Raw genomic sequence first — 19,574 nt, forward strand, 5'->3', positions numbered from 1 at the left:
TTTGATATTCTCAGACTACAGGTAACTAAAACAGTGGAAGGTAAAACTGCAGATAAGGGGGAATTATCTTACGTGCCTTTTATGTCAGTGAGGTGGTAGAGAGTCGCTGTTTGAAGACCAGAGCTTCTGTCTGAGGCTGTGTTAGTGAGCCCGACCAGGAGGCTGTGGGGACGGCACGCTATAGCAGATTGCCTCGGAGTTGTGCTTTTGAAGTTAGAAAGCCAAATCAATGTGAAGAGCATTTGGTCGTCCTCATTTCTATGCACACGTAGATTGCATATTAATATCAAAGGAAGTCAGTTGTGTATGTAAAGGAGAAAGAATTTTCTTTGGAGTCTTTAATTGTCAAGCGCCATTAAGATTTTCTTCTTCTTGCCCACCAAAATGACAGAATCCACTTTAAAATCTTTGAAAGCAAATGATGAAATTTGATGCCAGGGTGGTAGCAACAACAGAAATAGCTAATATTTATTGAGTACTTTCCAGGCAGTGTGCTTTGCATTACTGCCTTATTCATCGCTACTACCAACCTTATGCAATGGTATTCTTTATGTTACAGATGAGGAAACAGAAGCTTAGGCAAGTTAAACCCAGTCTTATACAGAAGAAAAGACAAGTTGGTTTTCTAAGACAGTACTGGCCAGCTCTTATAAAGCCCATACTCCTAACCTTCATTTTCTATTGTATCTCAATGGTAAATGATCTCTGTATAAAATTTACCTGATGATTGCCTATTGTCTTTCAGTTACACACACGCGCGCGTGTGTGTGTGTGATTGTTTTCAATGAATTTTGAAACTGCCTGTATCCAATGCAGCCATTAAATTTAGGAAATTCAGGTTTTTAAGCACATTTATAATTAATCATTGAATAAGAAATTGATCAGGCTCTGGCTCAGTGCAGTGGCTCACACCTGTAATCCCAGCACTTTAGGAGGCCAAGGCGAGGGGATTGCTTGAGCTCAGGAGTTCAAGGCCAGCCTGGGCAAAATACAAAAATTGGTGGTGCATGCCTGTAGTTCCAGCTACTTGGGAGGCTGAGGTGGGAGGATGGCTTAAGTCTGTGAGGTTGAGGCTGCAGTGAGCGAAGATCATACCACTGCCCTCCAGCCTGGACAACAAAGTGAAACCCTGTCTCAAATAAATAAATAAATAAATAAATAAATAAATAAATAAATAAAAGAAACCACCAAAAATACAGAAATTGACCAGGCTTTGGGTCAGTTATTTGGGTCATAGATAAAAGTGTACAAAATAACCATGGCTTATATTAAGGGTGAGAATAACTGGCTTAGAATATTGCCAGACATATAGTAAATGTTCTATTAAGGTTACCTATTATTAGTAATACTCACTCCCCATACTAAAAGTGTAAACTTCAGTAATATTTCCTTCAGAATCCACATTTCATAGAGATTTTAAATTTTATCTGAACAATTACATTTTCTCTCTGACCATTTGTGCCCAAAAGGTGATCACTGTCATGAATTTGGTGGGCATATGTATCTGATGATGTTTCCATAACATTAGTATTAATTTGTGTATACATACACAGTTTTATTGAAAACTTACCTAATCCTATCACATTACACATATTTGCCTCAAAGCACTGTCATTTTCCACAACATCGTGGAAAGTCTGTCTGTGAAGCACATATAACTAGTTAGAATCTAGTTTACCCGATGCATGCTGCTATCTGGGGATGAACTTAATTCTGTCAATGTCTTATTATAACCTTCCTGTGAAAATTCTAGTGCCTCTTTCTATTCACACAGAAGAAAGTTTCCATATGATAGATGCATAAAAGATAGTTGTTCGTTTGTAAAATTCATGAATGTCCAATATTACTGTTAGTTGTCTGCATTTGTTTTCCCAATTTTTGAAAAAAAATCAGATACAGTAAACTACCTGAAACTGCTAGAATCAGGAATATCCCTGAAGTCTGTCTAGTAATAGTAGTAGTCATTCCATCATAGCTCCCATGAAATTCTCATCTTTTATAGGTAATAATATATTCATATCTCAGATTTCTGAAGTACTGTAAAATTAATTACTGCTTATGTAAAACCCTACAAACCGCAATATTCATGCCTAAAGACCCCTATAAGCCACTAGTTCCTTCAGCTAATCTACAGATGAGTTCACTGAGTCTGAAGAGGAGGATCAATAACCTGCCTCTTTTGGTTCATCTGGTACCAAAGCAGATGTGAAAAGAAAAACGTTCAGTGGGTTCTGGTGGACAGGAGAGATCCGTAGCACAGGAGTCAGGAGTCCAAGATCTGAGTCCCAATTCTTTTATTCCCTGCATCCTTAGCACTTAATAGATATTCCATCATGGTGAAAATCAAAAACATATAGTTAAGATTTCCCAAGCACAGTAAGTGAAATGTTTGCCTATTGCCTCTCAATTACACACACACACATGCATGTGTGTGTGTGTGTGTGTGTGTGTGTGTGTATGTGGGGGTGTATTTGTGTGTGTTCAGTGAATTTTGAAACAATGGGCCAGGAACTGTTTTAAGTGCTTTACTTGTATTATCTCATCGTATCCTCCCAACAATTTTAGGAGGGAGATACTAAAAGATTTTGTGGGAGATACAGCACAATAAACTAAGGGGGAAAATTACTCTCATATTGAAAACTATATTAACACTTGCTTTAGTATTTTGACATAAAGTGGCTCTTTGGAAGCAGAATTTTGTCAGGACCAGTCAATTACCTGCTTATACTTTCAGATTCATTTATTCATTCAAAAACACTTCCTGACTGGCTAATATTTGTCAAGTTCTGTTCTCAGTCATGGGGTACACCCATGGATAAGGATGGCCTCCTCTTTTGAGATGCTTTTCAGTAGAGAGAGAACTGAATTCAACCACGTCCCATCACACTCCCAGTCTTGGTACAAAGCAGGCAAAGGAACCTGGATGAATTCAACCTGGATTCAGGAAAAGATAGAATAACTTAACATTTTTCTAGCCTGAAGGTTGAATTGTTAGTTTGATTGTCGTTGATGTCATGGCACTTGGATTGTGCTGCTTTGTCCTCATTTATTTAACCATGGAATTTTGCTTCCCTGATCTCTAACTCTAATCAAATTCTTGCCTTCCTGACCCACTCAGAGGTCCAGAAAAATATCTCCATCATTTAAAACTTTTCTTTAAATGAGATTATTTTTAATAGGAGCAAATTATCTCTGAGAAAGAAATAATATCATCATTTACCAATGTCTATTATACCACTTCCCTATTCTCTGAAAAGTGCACACAATTTTTTAAACAGTCACTTGGTAGCAGTAAATGCTATTTAGTCAGCCTTGTAGACCAAGGACGATTGGGGCTAGCACTATGGAAATATTTCTCATGTTTTCCCCTTTTATGAAGAGAGAGAAAGAAATTATTTCTTATGTATCAGTGAGAGTCTCTCCTGTACTCTAGATTAATATGTTTTAGTACTCAGCCAGCATCAAAGTGCTGTGATGCATCATATTGATCATCAAATATCAGTCCCCAGGAAGAGTTTCACTAGAAACACTTGTTAGGTGTGTTGTGTGCATTATATAACATTTATGCAAACCACAGCTTCCATACAGTACCAAACTTATCCAGGGAGAAGAAATCACATTTCAGCAGAGAACAGGTTTTCCATCTGATTTGTGCCCAGAACATGTAAAAAACATAGCAGGTTGCATGCTGCATTGACTAAGGAACATACATATGCATTTAAATCACTTGTGTTTTACTTTTTTATAATGCATTGGTGAATTGTATTCCTTTTGCATTTGTAATTAGAAGGCGGAACAGATGTGACGGTTTCGTTTAAAGTGATATGTCCATTAAAATAACCTATACTACAAGTAATTGTTTTCTTTAACAAGGGAGTCTGTCGGTTGTCATGCTGTTTTTGAGCCGTTTAAATAGACTGTGAAGAAAAACATGTTTGTCTTCAGGAAATGTTGATTGATTACGGAAGAAAGAAATTTTTGTGATAGGAATGTTTGCATATTTGTTGTTTTTGTTGTTCTTGCTCTTTTTGTTTTGGAGGTGGAACATCATCAGAGAAGCACTCCTACATTCATTCTTCCAGCCTCACTTTTTCTTCTCAAATTGAGACTAATAATTCAAACCTATCTGTATTTCAAAGAAGGCCAAGATTTCCCTTTTTCATTTTAATGAGCTATACTACAGTTAAGCTGAATATTAAATTATTACCCACTTGGTGATCAAATATACTGTCAATGTTACCACTGGCTCTTTGTTTGAACCCAAATGAAGTGTGGATTTTTATTTTGATCAATGACAGCTTTCTGAGATCTGCAGTTATGCTTGATTGGGACAGGCTGTGACAGCCAATGCAGTAGCCGGCAGACAATTCTTTAATATATGAATCTGACTGACCCAATTATCCATCCCCCACCCCCAAAGCAAAAAGCATCTCCAGAAACCTTTTACCATTTTCTTCTTGCAATGTCAATGCACTCAACATAGACAAAATTTAACTAAAATTATCCTTTGTAGAACAGATGCATACTAATCCCTTCACTGCTATAATTAAACACCTCTGTCTCTGAGTCACCAATGCTTGTAGACACATCAAAGTTGCCATTTTTTAAAGGAAAATTTAACACCATGGTCTGTACATACACAGTTGGAAAGATAGCATGGTTTCATACAAATTCTGTTTAATTGTGCCAAAATGTGCCAAAATGACATTTCTTGTTGATATAAAAATATTCCGAAAGGCTTTATGTGGGGAGAAATGTTGGGATGAGGTATGTTATTGTGGTTATGATGTTGAATTCAATAAAGTATTGAATTCAGTATTTTTTTACTGAAAAAGGTTGCAGTAAGCACCCAAGGTACCAGTGTTATGCACTACAAGGCAGGTGCAGGGAAAATCCTTTCAATGTCCTTTAACTGAATCCCTGTGATAGTCATGACGTATGGTTCTATAATTGGGCACTAGCAAATGTATTTTGGGGTTTGCTTCTTTATATGAAGCTTGATCCTTTGAATTTACTGAAATATAGAATGCCTAGCTTTCTGTTTTTTCTCTACAGATTTATCTTCATTTATGTTTTTCTTATTTTACTAGTCATGGCTCTGACTTTCTATTTCTATAATAAAATTGTTGAATATACACTATCTGTTGAGAGTAGTTCTTCAAATCTTATTTAGAAGGAGATATACAGACACACTCAGGTCAATGACTATGAATTGATTTGGTCAAACAAATGAAACTTTTAATTTTTCCTGGCTATTGATTTTCCATTTGCAAAAGAGAAAAAATGAATTATCTTTAACTGCATTATAAGGTCTGTGTTTCCTATAAATCTATATTTTATACATGCTTTAAAGTTTTATTTAAAATGTCAAATAATTATTGTCAAATGATTGATAGATATTGATATTAAAGGTATTCCAATAAGAATAATAAATTGTACTCATTAAATTGATATTCTATTAGTTAACTATTTCTGGGTATCATATAAGCAGACACACAGGAAGTACAGACATATCTCAGAGACATTGTAGGTTCAGTTTCAGGAAATGTCACAATAAAGTGAATCACACACATTTTTTGGTTTCCCAATTCATATAAAAGTTCTGTTTAAACCATAGTCTATTGAATGTGCAATAGTATATTCCCCCCAAAAAAACAATGCACATACCTCAATTTAAAATACTTTATTGCTAAACAATGCTAATGATTATCTGAATGTTTAGCGAGATGTAATATTTTTGCTGGTGGAGGGTCTTGCCTCAATGTTGATGGCTGCTCTAATTGGGTAGTAGTTGCTATAAGCTGGGGTGTCTGTGGCAATTTTTAAATATAAGATAACAATGAAGTTTGCTGCATCCATTGGCTCTTCTTTTCACTACAGTTTTCTCTGTAGCATGTGATGCTGTTTGATAGCATTTTACCTGCAGTAGATCTTCTTTCAAAATTGGTGTCAATCCTCTGAAACCCTGCTGCTGCTTTATCAACTCAGTTTATGGAATATTTTAAATCCTTTGTTGTCATTTCAACATCTTTGATGTTGTTTTACCATGAAATTGCAGCAATTCAGTCACATCTTCAGGCTTTACTTCCTCTAGCTCTCTTGTTATTTCCACCACATCTGCAGTTACTTTCTCCACTGAAGTCTTGAACCCCTCAAAGTCATCCATGAGGTTTGCAAGCAACTTCTTCAGTACTCCTGTTAATGTAGATATTACGACCTCCTCCCTTGAATCATAAATGTTATTAATGGCATCTAGAACTGTGAACCCTTTCCAGAAGGCTTTCGATTTACTTTGTCCAGATCCATCAGAGGAATTTCTATCTGTGGTAGTTATGGTCTTACAAAACGTATTTCCTAATAAGACTTCAAAATTGAAATGACTTCTTGAGCCATGAGCTGAAGAATGGATGTTGTGTTAGCAGGCATGAAAACGACATCAATATCCTTGTACATCTCCATGAGAGCTCTTGGATGACTAGGTGCACTGTCAATGAGCAGTAATATTTTGAAAGGAATCTCTTTTCTGAGCTTAAAATATTCAGTAAACCATGCTGCAAACAGATGAGCTATCATTCGGGCTTTGTTGTTCCATTTATAGAGCACAGGCAGAGTAGATTTAGAAATGGCCTTAGGATTTTTAGAATCATAATTCAGCAGTGGTTCAACATAATCACAATTCCTGAAGCCAGACATTGGCTTGTCCTCTCTAGCTATGAAAGTCCTAGATGGCATTTTCTTCTAGTAGAAGGCTGTTTCATCTACAGACAAAATCTGTGGTTTAGTGTAGCCACCCTCAACAATGACCTTAGCTGGATCTTCTGGATAACTTGCTACAGTTTCTATATCAGCACTTGCTACTTCACCTTGCACTTTTATGTTGTAGAGAGAGCTTCTTTTCTTAAACTCATAAACCAACCTCTGCTAGGTTCAAACTTTTCTTCAGCAGCTTCCTTACCTCTCTCAGTCTTCATGGAATTGAAGAGAGTTAGGGCCTTTCTCTGGATTAGTCTTTGGTTTAGAGAATAATTGTGGCTAGTATGGTCTTCTATCTAGACCACTAAAACTTTTCTCATATTACCAATAAGGCTGTTTTGCTTTCTTATCATTTGTGTTTTCACTGAAGTAGCAATTTTAATTCCCTTCAAGAATTCTTCCTTGGTTTGGCCTATCTTGACTTTGACATGCCTTTCTCACTAAGCTTAATCATTTCTAGCTTTTGATTTAAAGTGAGAGATGGGCAACTCTTCCTTTCACTTGAACACTTAGAGGCCTTTGTAGAGCTATTAACTGACTCAATTTTAATAGTGTTTTGTCTCACAGAATAGGGAGGCCTGAGGAGAGGGAGAGATGAGGGAATGATTGGTCAGTGGAGCAATCAAAACACACAACATTTATTGATTCAGTTTGCAGTTTTATATGGGTGTGGTTCATGGCACCCCAAAACAATTAAATAGCAACATCAAACATCACTGATCACAGGTCACAATAACAGATATAATAATAATAAAATTTTAAATAGTGCAAGAATTACCAAAATGTGACTTAGAGACACAAAGTGAGCACATGCTGTTGGAAAAATGGCACCGATAGTCTTGCTTCACAGAGGGTTGCCAGAAATCTTTAATCTGTTTTTTAAAAAACCCAATATCTGCAAAACACAATAAAACAAGCTATGCCTATATGTTAGGGGGCCTCTTTGTGGAATGACTTTCAGTATGATAGAAATTTGTCTATTTTAGATTTAATTCTATCTGAAACTTTGACTATTAAGGATTGCAGGGTTTTGATTTAATTGTTTATTTAGACCACTTTCACGTTAAAGTTTAACATTCATTAGAAAGTAAAATAGATGTTATCACTATGATTTTCAATATAAAAAGTTCAACTCTCTTGGATTTGTAAGTTAATTTTAAATTAATTGATATTTAGTGTAAATCTTTCTATAATAACCAAGTATGCACAGAAAGCTCACTACCCTATAAAGCTTACAACTGTTCATAAATCCACTTATATAAGAGATAATCATTATCTCTTCTAAGCTTAAGGGTTTCAGCAATCTAAAGTATTTAAAGGCAAGTCCCCTCATCAATGAGGAAACTATCTTTTGGGGACCTTCTCAGTCTATCTTTTCTATGAACATTGCCTTCTCTGCAGTTACAACTCTGAGCTCCTGGCAATCAGGTTTGTAGCTTGGGACAGATTCTGCCCCTCTGCCCACAGCAGGTCAGATGGGCACTGGGCAGTTAATACATATGGTTATAACTGAGGGTAGCTAAGCACACAAGCCATAGGGCAGCCTTGTGCAGAGAGAAGCAGAGAGGAGACTGTGTAATGCACCAGAAAGAGTAGTTTTATAAGCATTGATAGGATAAAAATATAAAAAGCCAATGTTTAATAATGCAACTTACACTTAATTTTTTGATTTAAATTCTGCCTCTTGGGAGAAAGAGGTGAGATCGGCTCAACTTCTAGCACCAACACTCTCTGAAACTTTTTTTGAATATTTTTTTCTTTAAATTTTGTAAAAACGTATTTCCTACCCCTAAAGGAAATTTTGAGGTGAGCAATAGCTAGTAAACACTAAGTTCTTTGATTTTTGATACTTTTATTTGTATTTACTGTAACTAAGAAGAAATTGAGATTCCTGTTTTCCCTTCTGGTAATGCAAGTGTAAAGGGATCTAATTTACTACATAAACAGGGGATATCCTTTTATCTGTTCTATTCAAAATTTTAATCATTTTAATGGGTACACTTGGAGGGGATCTTCTTCAAGGTTCTGGAACTACTACAGTGGCCAAGTAGATATTTTCTGACAAGTAAAATTACCTTTCAAAGAGTGCACTACTTTTCTTTTGACTCTTGTCACTAAATACTCCCCAAGTTCTTTGTACAAATTAATTTTTCTGTTTTTCTTTTATTTCTCTTGGCAATTTAACTCCCTCTCACGGCTCCAATGATGATCTAAAATCCATACCTCCACCCTTAATTCTAAGCCTGGGGATGCCCCAAGCAAATATAAGTATACTTTAACAAAAGCTGATGCCAGCATATTATATATTTCTAAACAAAGATTGTAATTATATTAATCTGTTCTCACACTGCTGTAAAGAGCTGCCTAAGACTGGGGAATCAATAAACAAAAGAGGTTTAATTGACTTACAGTTCCTCATGGTTTCGGAGGCCTCAGGAAACTTACGATCATGGTGGAAGGCAAAGGGGAAGCAAGGCACATCTTTCATGGTGGCAAGAGAGAGAACACAGAGAAAACTGTCACTTTTAAACCATCAGATCTCGTGAGAACTCCCTCAGTATCACCAGAACAGCATGGGGTAAAACCACCCCCATGATCCAATCACCTCCCACCAGGTCCCTCCCTTGACACGTCGGGATTACAATTCAAGATGAGATTTGGACACAGGGCCAAACCATCTCATACACACACACACACACACACACACACACACACACATATATACACACATATATATACATATATATTCTTTAATTCTGATCTACATATCTACTGTTGTGTATCTCCAATCACATTTAAAATGGTTAGTCCTCAGTATCTCTAAAACTATATTGATCATTTTCCTTCCTACACCTGGTTTTCTCTTCTCTTCCTGTTTCTAGAATTAATTCCATCGTCCCATCCTCCCAGACAACAAAATCGGAACCTCCCAGTTGTCTCTCAGTTCTTCTTCTTTTCCCTGCCTCCCATAGCAAAGTCATCTGTCAGGTCCCAGTGATTTCACCTCTTCTCTCTCTGTCTTTTCTGAATCTTTGTCTTTATCCCCTACTCTGTTGTACTGGGTTATGAGGCATCTTTTTTCAACTCAAATTGCTTCCTTCTTCCAACTGGTCACCCTGTGACTTTCAGATTAATCTTTTTCCAGCACAGTTCAGATTTTGTTATACTGTCACCAAAATATTTCAATGGCTTTCCATTGCATTCAGCATCAAATCCAAACTTGTTGTCTTGGCCTTAAGCTGTACTTTTGGCCTTTTCTCCCACTCAGCCTAGTTAAAGCATTAACTCTGGTGGTTTTTTGCAGCCCTGTACTTGACATACTCTTCTCACTGTGAAAAGCACCCAACTTCCCAGCTTTATGTGGCCATCTTCTATTCCAAAGGCCATTACAGAAGGCACTTTCTAGATGAAGCTTTCCCTGTCCTTCCAGCTGGAATGATGTTTCCAGTTCTCCAACTCAAGGTGGAACTCTTTTTTCTTTTATCTTTATATTAGTTTGCTAGGGCTTCTGCGACAAAGTAGCAAAGACTTGGTGGATTAAGAGCAGATATTTATTTTCTCACAATTCCAGAGGCTTAGGAGTCTAAGATCAAGGTGTTGTCAGCATCAGTTTCTTCTGAGGCTCCTCTACTTGGCTTGTAGATGGCCACCTTCTCCCTGTGTCTTCCCAAGGGTTTCCCTCTGTGTATGTCTATGGCCACATTTTCTCTTCTTATAAAGATACCTGCTTATGGGGCCCACATTAATGACTTCACATTAACCCAGTGAATTCTTTAAAGACAGTATATCACATTCTGAGGTACTGGCGTAAGGACTTTAACATGTGATCTTGGGGGTGGGGCACAATTCATCCCATAACACCTATCTCTGCAGCATGTCTCACTTTAGACATTGTGCTCTGGTTTTTCATGTACATAATATAAGTTTCCCACCTTTTTCTCAGTATGAGAGGGAAGGATCTATATTTTCTCCATGACATCTGTCTGTATAAACCCCATAAATACTCAATACTGTGTCTTGCATATGGGAAATACTCAATGAATGTTTTCTTTTATTTACACATAAACTTTTTACATATTTCAGAGGAATATATGAGCATTTTTTACATGCATAGAATATGTCATGCTCAAGTCAGGGTATGTGGGGTATCCATCACCTTGAGTATTTATCATTTCTAAGTGTTGGTAACATTTCAGGTTCTCTCTTCCAGCTATTTTGAAATATACAATATATTGTTGCTAATTGTAGTTACTCTAGTGTACAATGGAACATTAGAACTTACTTCTATCTAACTTTAAGTTTGTACCCATTAAACAACTTCTATTTCCCACCCCCACTTTCACACCCTTTCCTGCTCTTGGTGTTTATTATTTTATTCTCTATCTTCCAATCATCAAGTTTTTTTTAATACCTACATATGAGTGAGAACATGCAGTGTTTGTCTTTCTGTGCCTGGATTATTTCACTTAACATAATGAACTTTGGTTCCATCCATTTGTCTGGAAATGACATGATTTCATTCTTTTATGGCCAAATAGTATTCCATTGTGTATATATATATCACACTTTCTTTATTCATTCATCCATTGACAGACATAGCTTGCTTCCATATCTTTGTTATTATGAATAGTGCTGCAGTAAACTTGAGTGTGTAGGTATCCCTTTGATATGCTTTCTTTTCTTTTGAATAGATACCCAGTAGTGCAACTAATGGATTGTATGGTAGATCGATTTTTAGTTTTTTGAGAAATCTCCATACTGTTTTTCATAGTGGTTATACTAATTTACATTCCCACCAACAGTGTATACGTGTTCTCTTTTCTCTGCATCCTTGTCAGTCTGTTACTTTTTTGTCTTTTTAATAATAGCCAATATAACTGGGATAAGATTATAATTCATTGTGTCTTTGGTTTGCACTTTGTAGATGATTAACGATGAGCAGCTTTTCATATACCTGTTGGCCATTTGTATGTCTTGTTTTCAGAATAGTCTATTCATGTCCTTGTAATCCCTTTTAAATGCCATCACTTGTTTTTGTTTTGTTGAGTTCCCCATATATTCTGGATATTAGTTCCTTGTCGTGTGACTGTTTTGCAAACCTTCTCTCCCATTCAATAGTTTGTCTCCTCACTCTGCTGATTGTTCCCTTTGCTGTACAGAAGCTTTTCAGTTTAATATAGTACAATTTGTCTATATTTGTTTTCGTTGCCTATACTTTTGAGGTTTTTGAGGTCTTAGCCATAAAATCTTCACTTAGATCAATGTCCTGGTGTTTTTTCTGTTTTTTTTTTTTTCTAGTAGCTTTATAGTTTTGAATCTTACCTTTGGGTCTTTAATTCATCTTGGTTGATTTTTGTATATGATGAGAGATAGGGGTCTGGTTTTATTCTTCTGCATATGGATATTCAATTTTGCCAGCACCATTTATTGAAGAAGGTATCCTTTCCTTACTATATGTTCTTGACATCTTTGTCAAAAATCAGTTGGCTTTAAATATGTGGATTTATTTCTGTGTTCTCTATTTTGTTCCATTGGTCTATGTGCTTATTTTTATACTAATACCATGATGTTTTGGTTATGATAGCCTTGTAATATAATTTGAAGTCAGGTAGTGTGATGGCTCCAGCTTTGTTCTTTTTGCTCAGCATTGCTGTGGCTACCCTGGTTCTTCTATTTACATATGAATTTTAGGATGTTTTTCCTATTTCTGTAAAAAGTTGCGTTGGTGTTTTGATAGGGATTGCATTGAATCTGTATATTGCTGTGGGCAGTGGGGTCCTTTTCATGATATTAATTCTTCCATTCCATGATCATGGAATGTCTTTCCATTTGTTTGTGTCCTCTTAAATTTCTTTCATCAGTGTTTTGTAGTTTTCTTTGTAGAGCTCTTTCCCCTCCTTGATTAAACTTATTACTATGTATTTTTTCTAACTATTGTAAATGGGATTGCTTTTTACATTTCTTTTTTGGCTATTTCATTATTGGTGTATAGAAATGCTACTAATTTTTTATGTTAATTTTATATCCTATAACTTTACCAAATGTGCCTATCAACTCTAAGAGTTTTTTTGAGGAAGTCTTTTGGCTTTTTAAGTTATAAGATCATGTCATCTGCAAAAAGAGATGATTTGATTTATTTTTTTCCAATTTGGGTGAATTTTATTTCTTTCTCTTGCCTGATTGCTCTGTCTAGGACCAATGCTATGTTGAATTGGAGTGGTAAAAGTGGACATCTTTGTCTTGTTCTAGTTCTTGGAGAAAAGGCTTTCAATTTCTCTCATTGAGTATGATGTTAGCTGTGGGTTTGTCATATATTCTCTTCATTGTTTTGAGGTTTGTTCCTTCTATGCCTAGTTGGTTGAGAGTTTTTATTATGAAGGGATGTTGCGTGTTATCACAAGCTTTTTCTGCATCTATTGAGCTGATTATATAGCTTTTGTTCTTCATTCTGTTGACACGATGTACCATGTTTATCGATTTGTGTATGTGAAACCATAATTGTATCCCTGGTATAAATCTCAGTTGACTATGGTATGTGATCTTTTTGCAGTGCTGTTGAATTCAGTTTGCTAGTATTTTGTTGAGATTTTGGTGTTTATGTTCATCAGGGATATTGATCCGTGTTTTCTTTTTTTGTCATGTCCTTGTCTGATTTTGGTCTCAGGGTGATGCTGACCTCATAGAATGAGTTTGGGAGAATTCCTTCCTTTCAATTTTTTTTTTTGAATAGTTTCAGGAGGATTGGTATTAGCTTTTCAAACATTTGGTTGAATTCAACTATGAATCCATCAAGTCTTGGGCTTTTCTTTGTTGGGAGACTTTTTATTACTGATTGAGTCTTGCTCATTATTGGTCTGTTCTGGTTTTCTATTTTTTCCTGACTCCGTCATAGTAGGTTGTGTATTTCCTGGGGTTTATATATTTCCTCTAGGTTTTCCAGTTTGTCAGCCTATATTTGTTTATAATAGTCTTTAATGATCTTTTATATTTCTGTGGTATCAGTTGTAATGTCTCCTTTTGTATGTTTATTTGGGTCTTTTCTGGATTAGTCTAACTAGCAGTTTATCAATTTTGTTTAACTCTTCCAATAACCAAAATTTTTGTTTCATTGATCATCTGCTCTGATCTTTATTATTATTTTTTTCTTCTGCTAATTTTGGTTTTGGTTTGTTCTTGCTTTTCTATTTCCTTGAGGTGCATTGTTGAATTGTTACTTTGTAATCCTTTTACTTTTTAGATGTAGGCATTTATTGCTATAAACTTCCCTCTTAGCATGGCATTTTCTGTATCCCACAGGTTTTGGTTTGTTGTGTTTCCATTTTTATTTGTTTCAATAAACTTTAAAATTTCCATCTTAATGTCTTCATTTACTCAATTGCTGTTCAGTAGCTTATTATTTAATTTCCATGTATGTGTATATTTTTGTCTTTACAGGCAAAGTGCATTTCTTGTAGGCAACATATAATTAAATTATGTTTTTCTTTTACCCATTCAGCCAGTCTAAGTGGATAATTTAATCTATTTACATTCAAAGTGATTATTGATATGTAAGGTTTTGTTCTTCTCATATTTTTAATTGTTTACTGGTTGTTTTGTATATTCTTTGTTTCTTTCTTTTACTTTTATTGTTATTGTGGTTTGGTGGTTTGTATACCATATGAGTTCTTTCTTTTCCTCATTTGTGTCAACATTTGGCTTACCAGTGAGTTTTATATTTTTGTGTATTTTTTTTTTTTTTTTTTGAGACGAAGTCTCGCTCTGTTGCCCAGACTGGAGTACAGTGGCACGATACTGGCTCACTGCAACCTCCGCCTCCAGGGTTTCAGCGATTCTCCCTCCTCAGGCTCCTGAGTAGCTGGGATTACAGGTGTGCATCACCACACCCAGCTAATTTTTTGTATTTTTAGTAGAGATGGGGTTTCACCATGTTGGCCAGGCTGGTCTCATACTCCTGATCTCAAGTGATCTGCCCACCTTGGCCTCCCAAAGTGCTGGAACTACAGGCATGAGTCACATGACTGGCCTGTGTATTTTCATGATATGATAAGTGTCAACTGTTTGCATCCAGATATGGGACTTCCTTGAACTTTTCTTGTGGGGCTGGTCTAGTGATGATGCATTCTCTTAGCTTCTGCTTCTCTGCAAAGAAATTTATTTCTTCTCCATTTATGAAGGATAATTTTGCTAGATGTGGTATCCTTGGCTGGTAGTTATTTTTTTCCTTTCAGCACTTTGAGTATATCATCTCATTCTCTCCTGACCTGTAAGGTTTCTGCTGAGAAATGCACTGTTAGTTTGATGGGGGTTCCTCTATAGGTGACTTAATGCTTATCTTTTGCTATATTTAGAATTCTGTTTTTGTGTTTGACTTCAGACAGTTTGACTAAAATGTGCCATGGAGAAGATCTTTTTGCATTGTATCCATTTGGGAATCTCAGCGCCTCCTGTATCTGGAAGTCTAAATCTCTTCTGGATTTGGAATGCTTTCATCTATCATTTCATTAAATAGATTTTCTAATCCTTTCATTCTCTCTTTACCTTCCAGGACCTGAGTGATTAAAAAATTTGGTCACTTTGTGGTGTCTCATATGTCATGGAGGCATTGCTTATTCTTTTTTATTCATTTTCTTTATTTTTTCAAAATATCTGTCTTGAAGTTCTGAGATTCTTTCTTCTTGATCTAGTCAATTGTTGAAGATCTCAAATGTGTTTTGTATTTCATTCAATAAATTCTTCAGTTCTAGAATTTCTGTTTGGTTGTTTTTTATGGCATCTGTCTCTTTGGTAGATTTTTCATTCATAATTTGAACAGTTATTTCTGATTTCTTTGCATTGTTTTTCAGAATTTTTATTTATCTCACTGAGCTTCTTAAGAATCAATAATTTGAATTCATTTTCCAGGACTTTGTGAATTGGCTGTTGCTGGAGAATTATTTTTTTCCTTTGGAGGTGTCATATTTCCTTGCTTTTTCATGTTTCCTGTGTCCTTACATTGATATCTGTACATCTGGTATGATAGTCACTTCTTCCAATTTTTGGAATTTTCTTACATAAGGGAGAACTACTTCCTGAAGATGTATCTATGGTGTTGGTTGGTGATATGGTTTGGCTGTATCCCCACCCAAATCTCAACTTGAATTATATCTCCCAGAATTCCCATGTGTTGTGGGAAGGACCCAGGAGGAGGTAAATGAATCCTGGGGGCTGGTCTTTCCCATGCTATTCTTGTGATTGTGAATAAGTCTCATGAGATTTGATGGGTTTATCAGGGGTTTCTGCTGTTGCTTCTTCCTTATTTTTCTCTTGCCACCGCCATGTAAGAAGTGCCTTTCACCTCCTGACATGATTCTGCATCCTCCCCAGCCATGTGGAACTGTAAGTCCAATCCAACCTCTTTTTGTTCCCAGTTTCAGGATGTCTTTATCAGCAGCATGGAAATGAACTAAAACAGTAAATTGGTACCAGTAGATTGGGACATTGCTGAAAGATATCCAAAAATGTGGAAGCAACTTTGGAACGGGGTAACAGGCAGAGGTTGGAACAGTTAGGAGGGCTCAGAAGAAGACAAGAAAATGTGGGAAAGTTTGGAACTTACTAGAGACTTGTTGAATGGCTTTGCCCATAATGCTGATAGTGACATGGACATTAAGGTTCGGGCTGAGGTGGTCTCAGATGGAGATGAGAAACTTGTTGGAAATTGGAGTAAAGGTGACTCTTGTTACGCTTTAGCAAAGAGACTGGCGACATTTTGCCCAGCCCTAGAGATTTATGGAACTTTGAACATGAGAGAGATGATTTAGGGTATCTGGCAGCTGGCAGAAGAAACTTCTAAGCAGCAAAGCATTCAAGAGGTGACTTGGGTACTGTTAAAGGCATTTAGTTTTATAAGAGAAGCAGAGCATAAAAGTTCAGAAACTTTGCAGCCTGACATGTGGTAGAAAAGAAAAATCCATTTTCTGGGGAGAAATCAAGGCAGCTGCAGAAATTTGTATAAATAGAAAGGAATCTAATGTTAATCCCCAAGACCACGGGGGATATGTCTGCAGGCCATGTCAGAGACCATGACAGCCCCTCCCATCAGAGGCCCAGAGGCCCAGTAGGAAAAAGTGGTTTTTGTGGGCCAGGCCCAGGATCCCTGTGCTGTGTGCAGCCTAGAGACTTGGTGCCCTGTGTCCCAGTTGCTCCAGCCATGGCTGAAAGGGGCCAATGTACAGCTTGGGATGTGGCTTCAGAGGGTGGAAGCCCCAGCCCTTGGCAGCTTCCACATAGTATTGAGCCTGCCGGTGCACAGAAGTCAAGAATTGAGGTTTGGGAACCTCTGCCTAGATTTCAGAAGATGTATGGAAACACCTGGATGTCCAGGCAAAAGTTTGCTGCAGGGGCGGGGCCCTCATGGAGAACCTCTGCTAAAGCAGTGCGGAAGGGTAATGTGGGGTCAGAGCCCCCACACAGAGTCCCTACTGGGGCACTGCCTAGTGGAGCTATGAGAAGAGGGCCCCCATCTTCCAGACCCCAGAATGGTAGATCCACTGACAGCTTGCACTGTGATCCTGGAAAAGCTGCAGACACTCAATGCCAGTCCATGAAAGCAGCCAGAAAGAAGGCTGTACCCTGCAAAGCCACAGGGGCAGAGCTGCCCAACACCATGGGAACCCACCTCTTGCATCAGCGTGATGTGGATTTGAGACCTGGAGTCAAAGGAGAACATTTTGGAGCTTTAAAGTTTGACTACCCCGCTGGGTTTTGGACTTGCATGGGCCCTGTAACCCCTTTGTTTTAGCCAGTTTCTCCCATTTGGAATGGCTGTATTTACCCAATACCTGTACCCCCATTGTATCTAGGAAGTATCTAGTTTGCTTTTGATTTTACAGGCTCATAGGCAGAAGGGTCTTGCTGTGTCTCAGATGAGACTATAGACTGTGGACTTTTGAATTAATGCTGAAATTAGTTAAGACTTTGGGGGACTGTTGGGAAGGCATTATTAGTTTTGAAATGTGAGGACATGAGATTTGGAGGGACCGGGGGAGGAATTATATGGTTTGGCCACGTCCCCACCCAAGTCTCAACTTGAATTGTATCCCCCAGAATTCCCACTTGTTGTGGGAAGGACCCAGGAGGAGGTAATTGAATCATGGGGGCTGGTTTTTTCTGTGCTATTCTCATGATAGTGAATAAGTCTCATGAGATCTGATGGGTTTTTCAGGGGTTTCTGCTTTTGCTTCCTCATTTTTCTCTTATCGCCACCATGTAAGAAGTGCCTTTTGCCTCCTGCCATGATTCTGCAGCCTCCTCAGCCATGTGGAACTGTAAGCCCAATTAAACCTCTTTTTGTTCCCAGTTTCAGGTATGGCTTTATCAGCAGCATGAAAACAAACTAATACAGTTGGGTAGGACACTTTTGCTCTTATTCTGGTTTTGTGCAGCAGTGTAGTCTCTGTATGATTTCTTCAGCTATGAACAGCACTGGTGGTGTCTGTGATTTCTTTGATGGCTTAAAATGCTGTTATTAGTGAAAGCTGTGGTGAAGTTTTTCTGGGGACTGAGATGCCAGGTAGGTCAGTCTTCTGGCCCCATTGGTGGCAGCAGTGGGCTGAGCATGTCTGTCCTTGGGACCCAGGAAAGCATATGCCCATATGTTACTGGATCTAGGAAGATTACTTCTTTGACCTACAGGTGGCTTACTCAGATGCCGATAGTTCCAGCAGTGGGTCTATTCTTGGGCCCCTGGACAGCAGGTGTGGCATGGGTGATGTCAGTGGTAGTGGTGGGGCAGCCCTCTGAGTCCTGAGTAATGCATGCTGCTGTTGGCCATGGCTGTAATGGGCTGGGTACATAAGTCACCAGGCCCACAGATGGCAAGTACAGGTAGGTGCCAGCTATGGTGATAGCACCCGGGTGCTAGGCCCAATCTCAGGAATCTTCAGGTACCAACAGAGGTAGACTGGGCGGGGCAGAGTGTGCTAGCCTGATTGTGCTACGCCCAACACTCAGGAGTGTTGAGTTACCAACAGAGGTAGACTCCGTGGCCAGACTCTGTGCTTTGGCATGGAGTGAGGGCAAAGCCTGGCTGGGTGCGTTTATCCTCAGGCCTCCTGATGGAGAGTGCAGGTGCCAGCCTTGGGTGGCAGGGACAGGGCCATGGCTGGCATCTGCGCTCACAGTCAGGCAGAATGCTTGGGTTGTGGGGCAACAGCAGCTGTGCCACTGCCCCTGCCACTGGGAAGGGTGGTACTGCCTTCAGTGGCCAGCAGCCTAGGCTGGTGGGTTGGGAACCTCCCAGCTCCTCTCTGTGTTATTAGCTTCAGGCCCCGTGAGTGTTGAGAGGATCTCCCATGGCTAGAACTGCAGGCTAGAACTGTTGGGGATGTGAACTGCTGAGGGTCTCTCACTTTTCCCTTTCCCAGACTGGGGAGTCTTTCTCAGCTCCCAGCTTACCCCATCTGAGCAGGCTGCCTGGTTCCTTCTCCTTCCTTGCTTTAGGTATTTCCTGTCACTTTTCTGTGGAATTCCAGTGTTCTTTCTTGCATGATCTATTTGAAAGGTGATTACTCACTATTTCAGTTCTTCTTCATTGAGGAGGTGAGTATGAAATGCCTCTAGTCAGCCATCTTCCACAATACATTTTTAAGATGATAAGAAAATAGATTAGAACTTTTTAAAAAGTAGACCTGGTATGTGAAAAATACTACATTCAAACAGATTTAGATTGGAGCCAGCTATTTGGATAATTCTTGCAAATACATACCTACTGAGAAATAGGAATGTTAGCCAGGATTTTATATACTGTTAGCATTGATTGCACTAGCTAGCTAACTGCTGAAT

This window comes from Homo sapiens, chromosome 7 (genome assembly GCF_000001405.40).
Source record: "Homo sapiens chromosome 7, GRCh38.p14 Primary Assembly".
Lineage (NCBI taxonomy): Eukaryota > Metazoa > Chordata > Mammalia > Primates > Hominidae > Homo > Homo sapiens.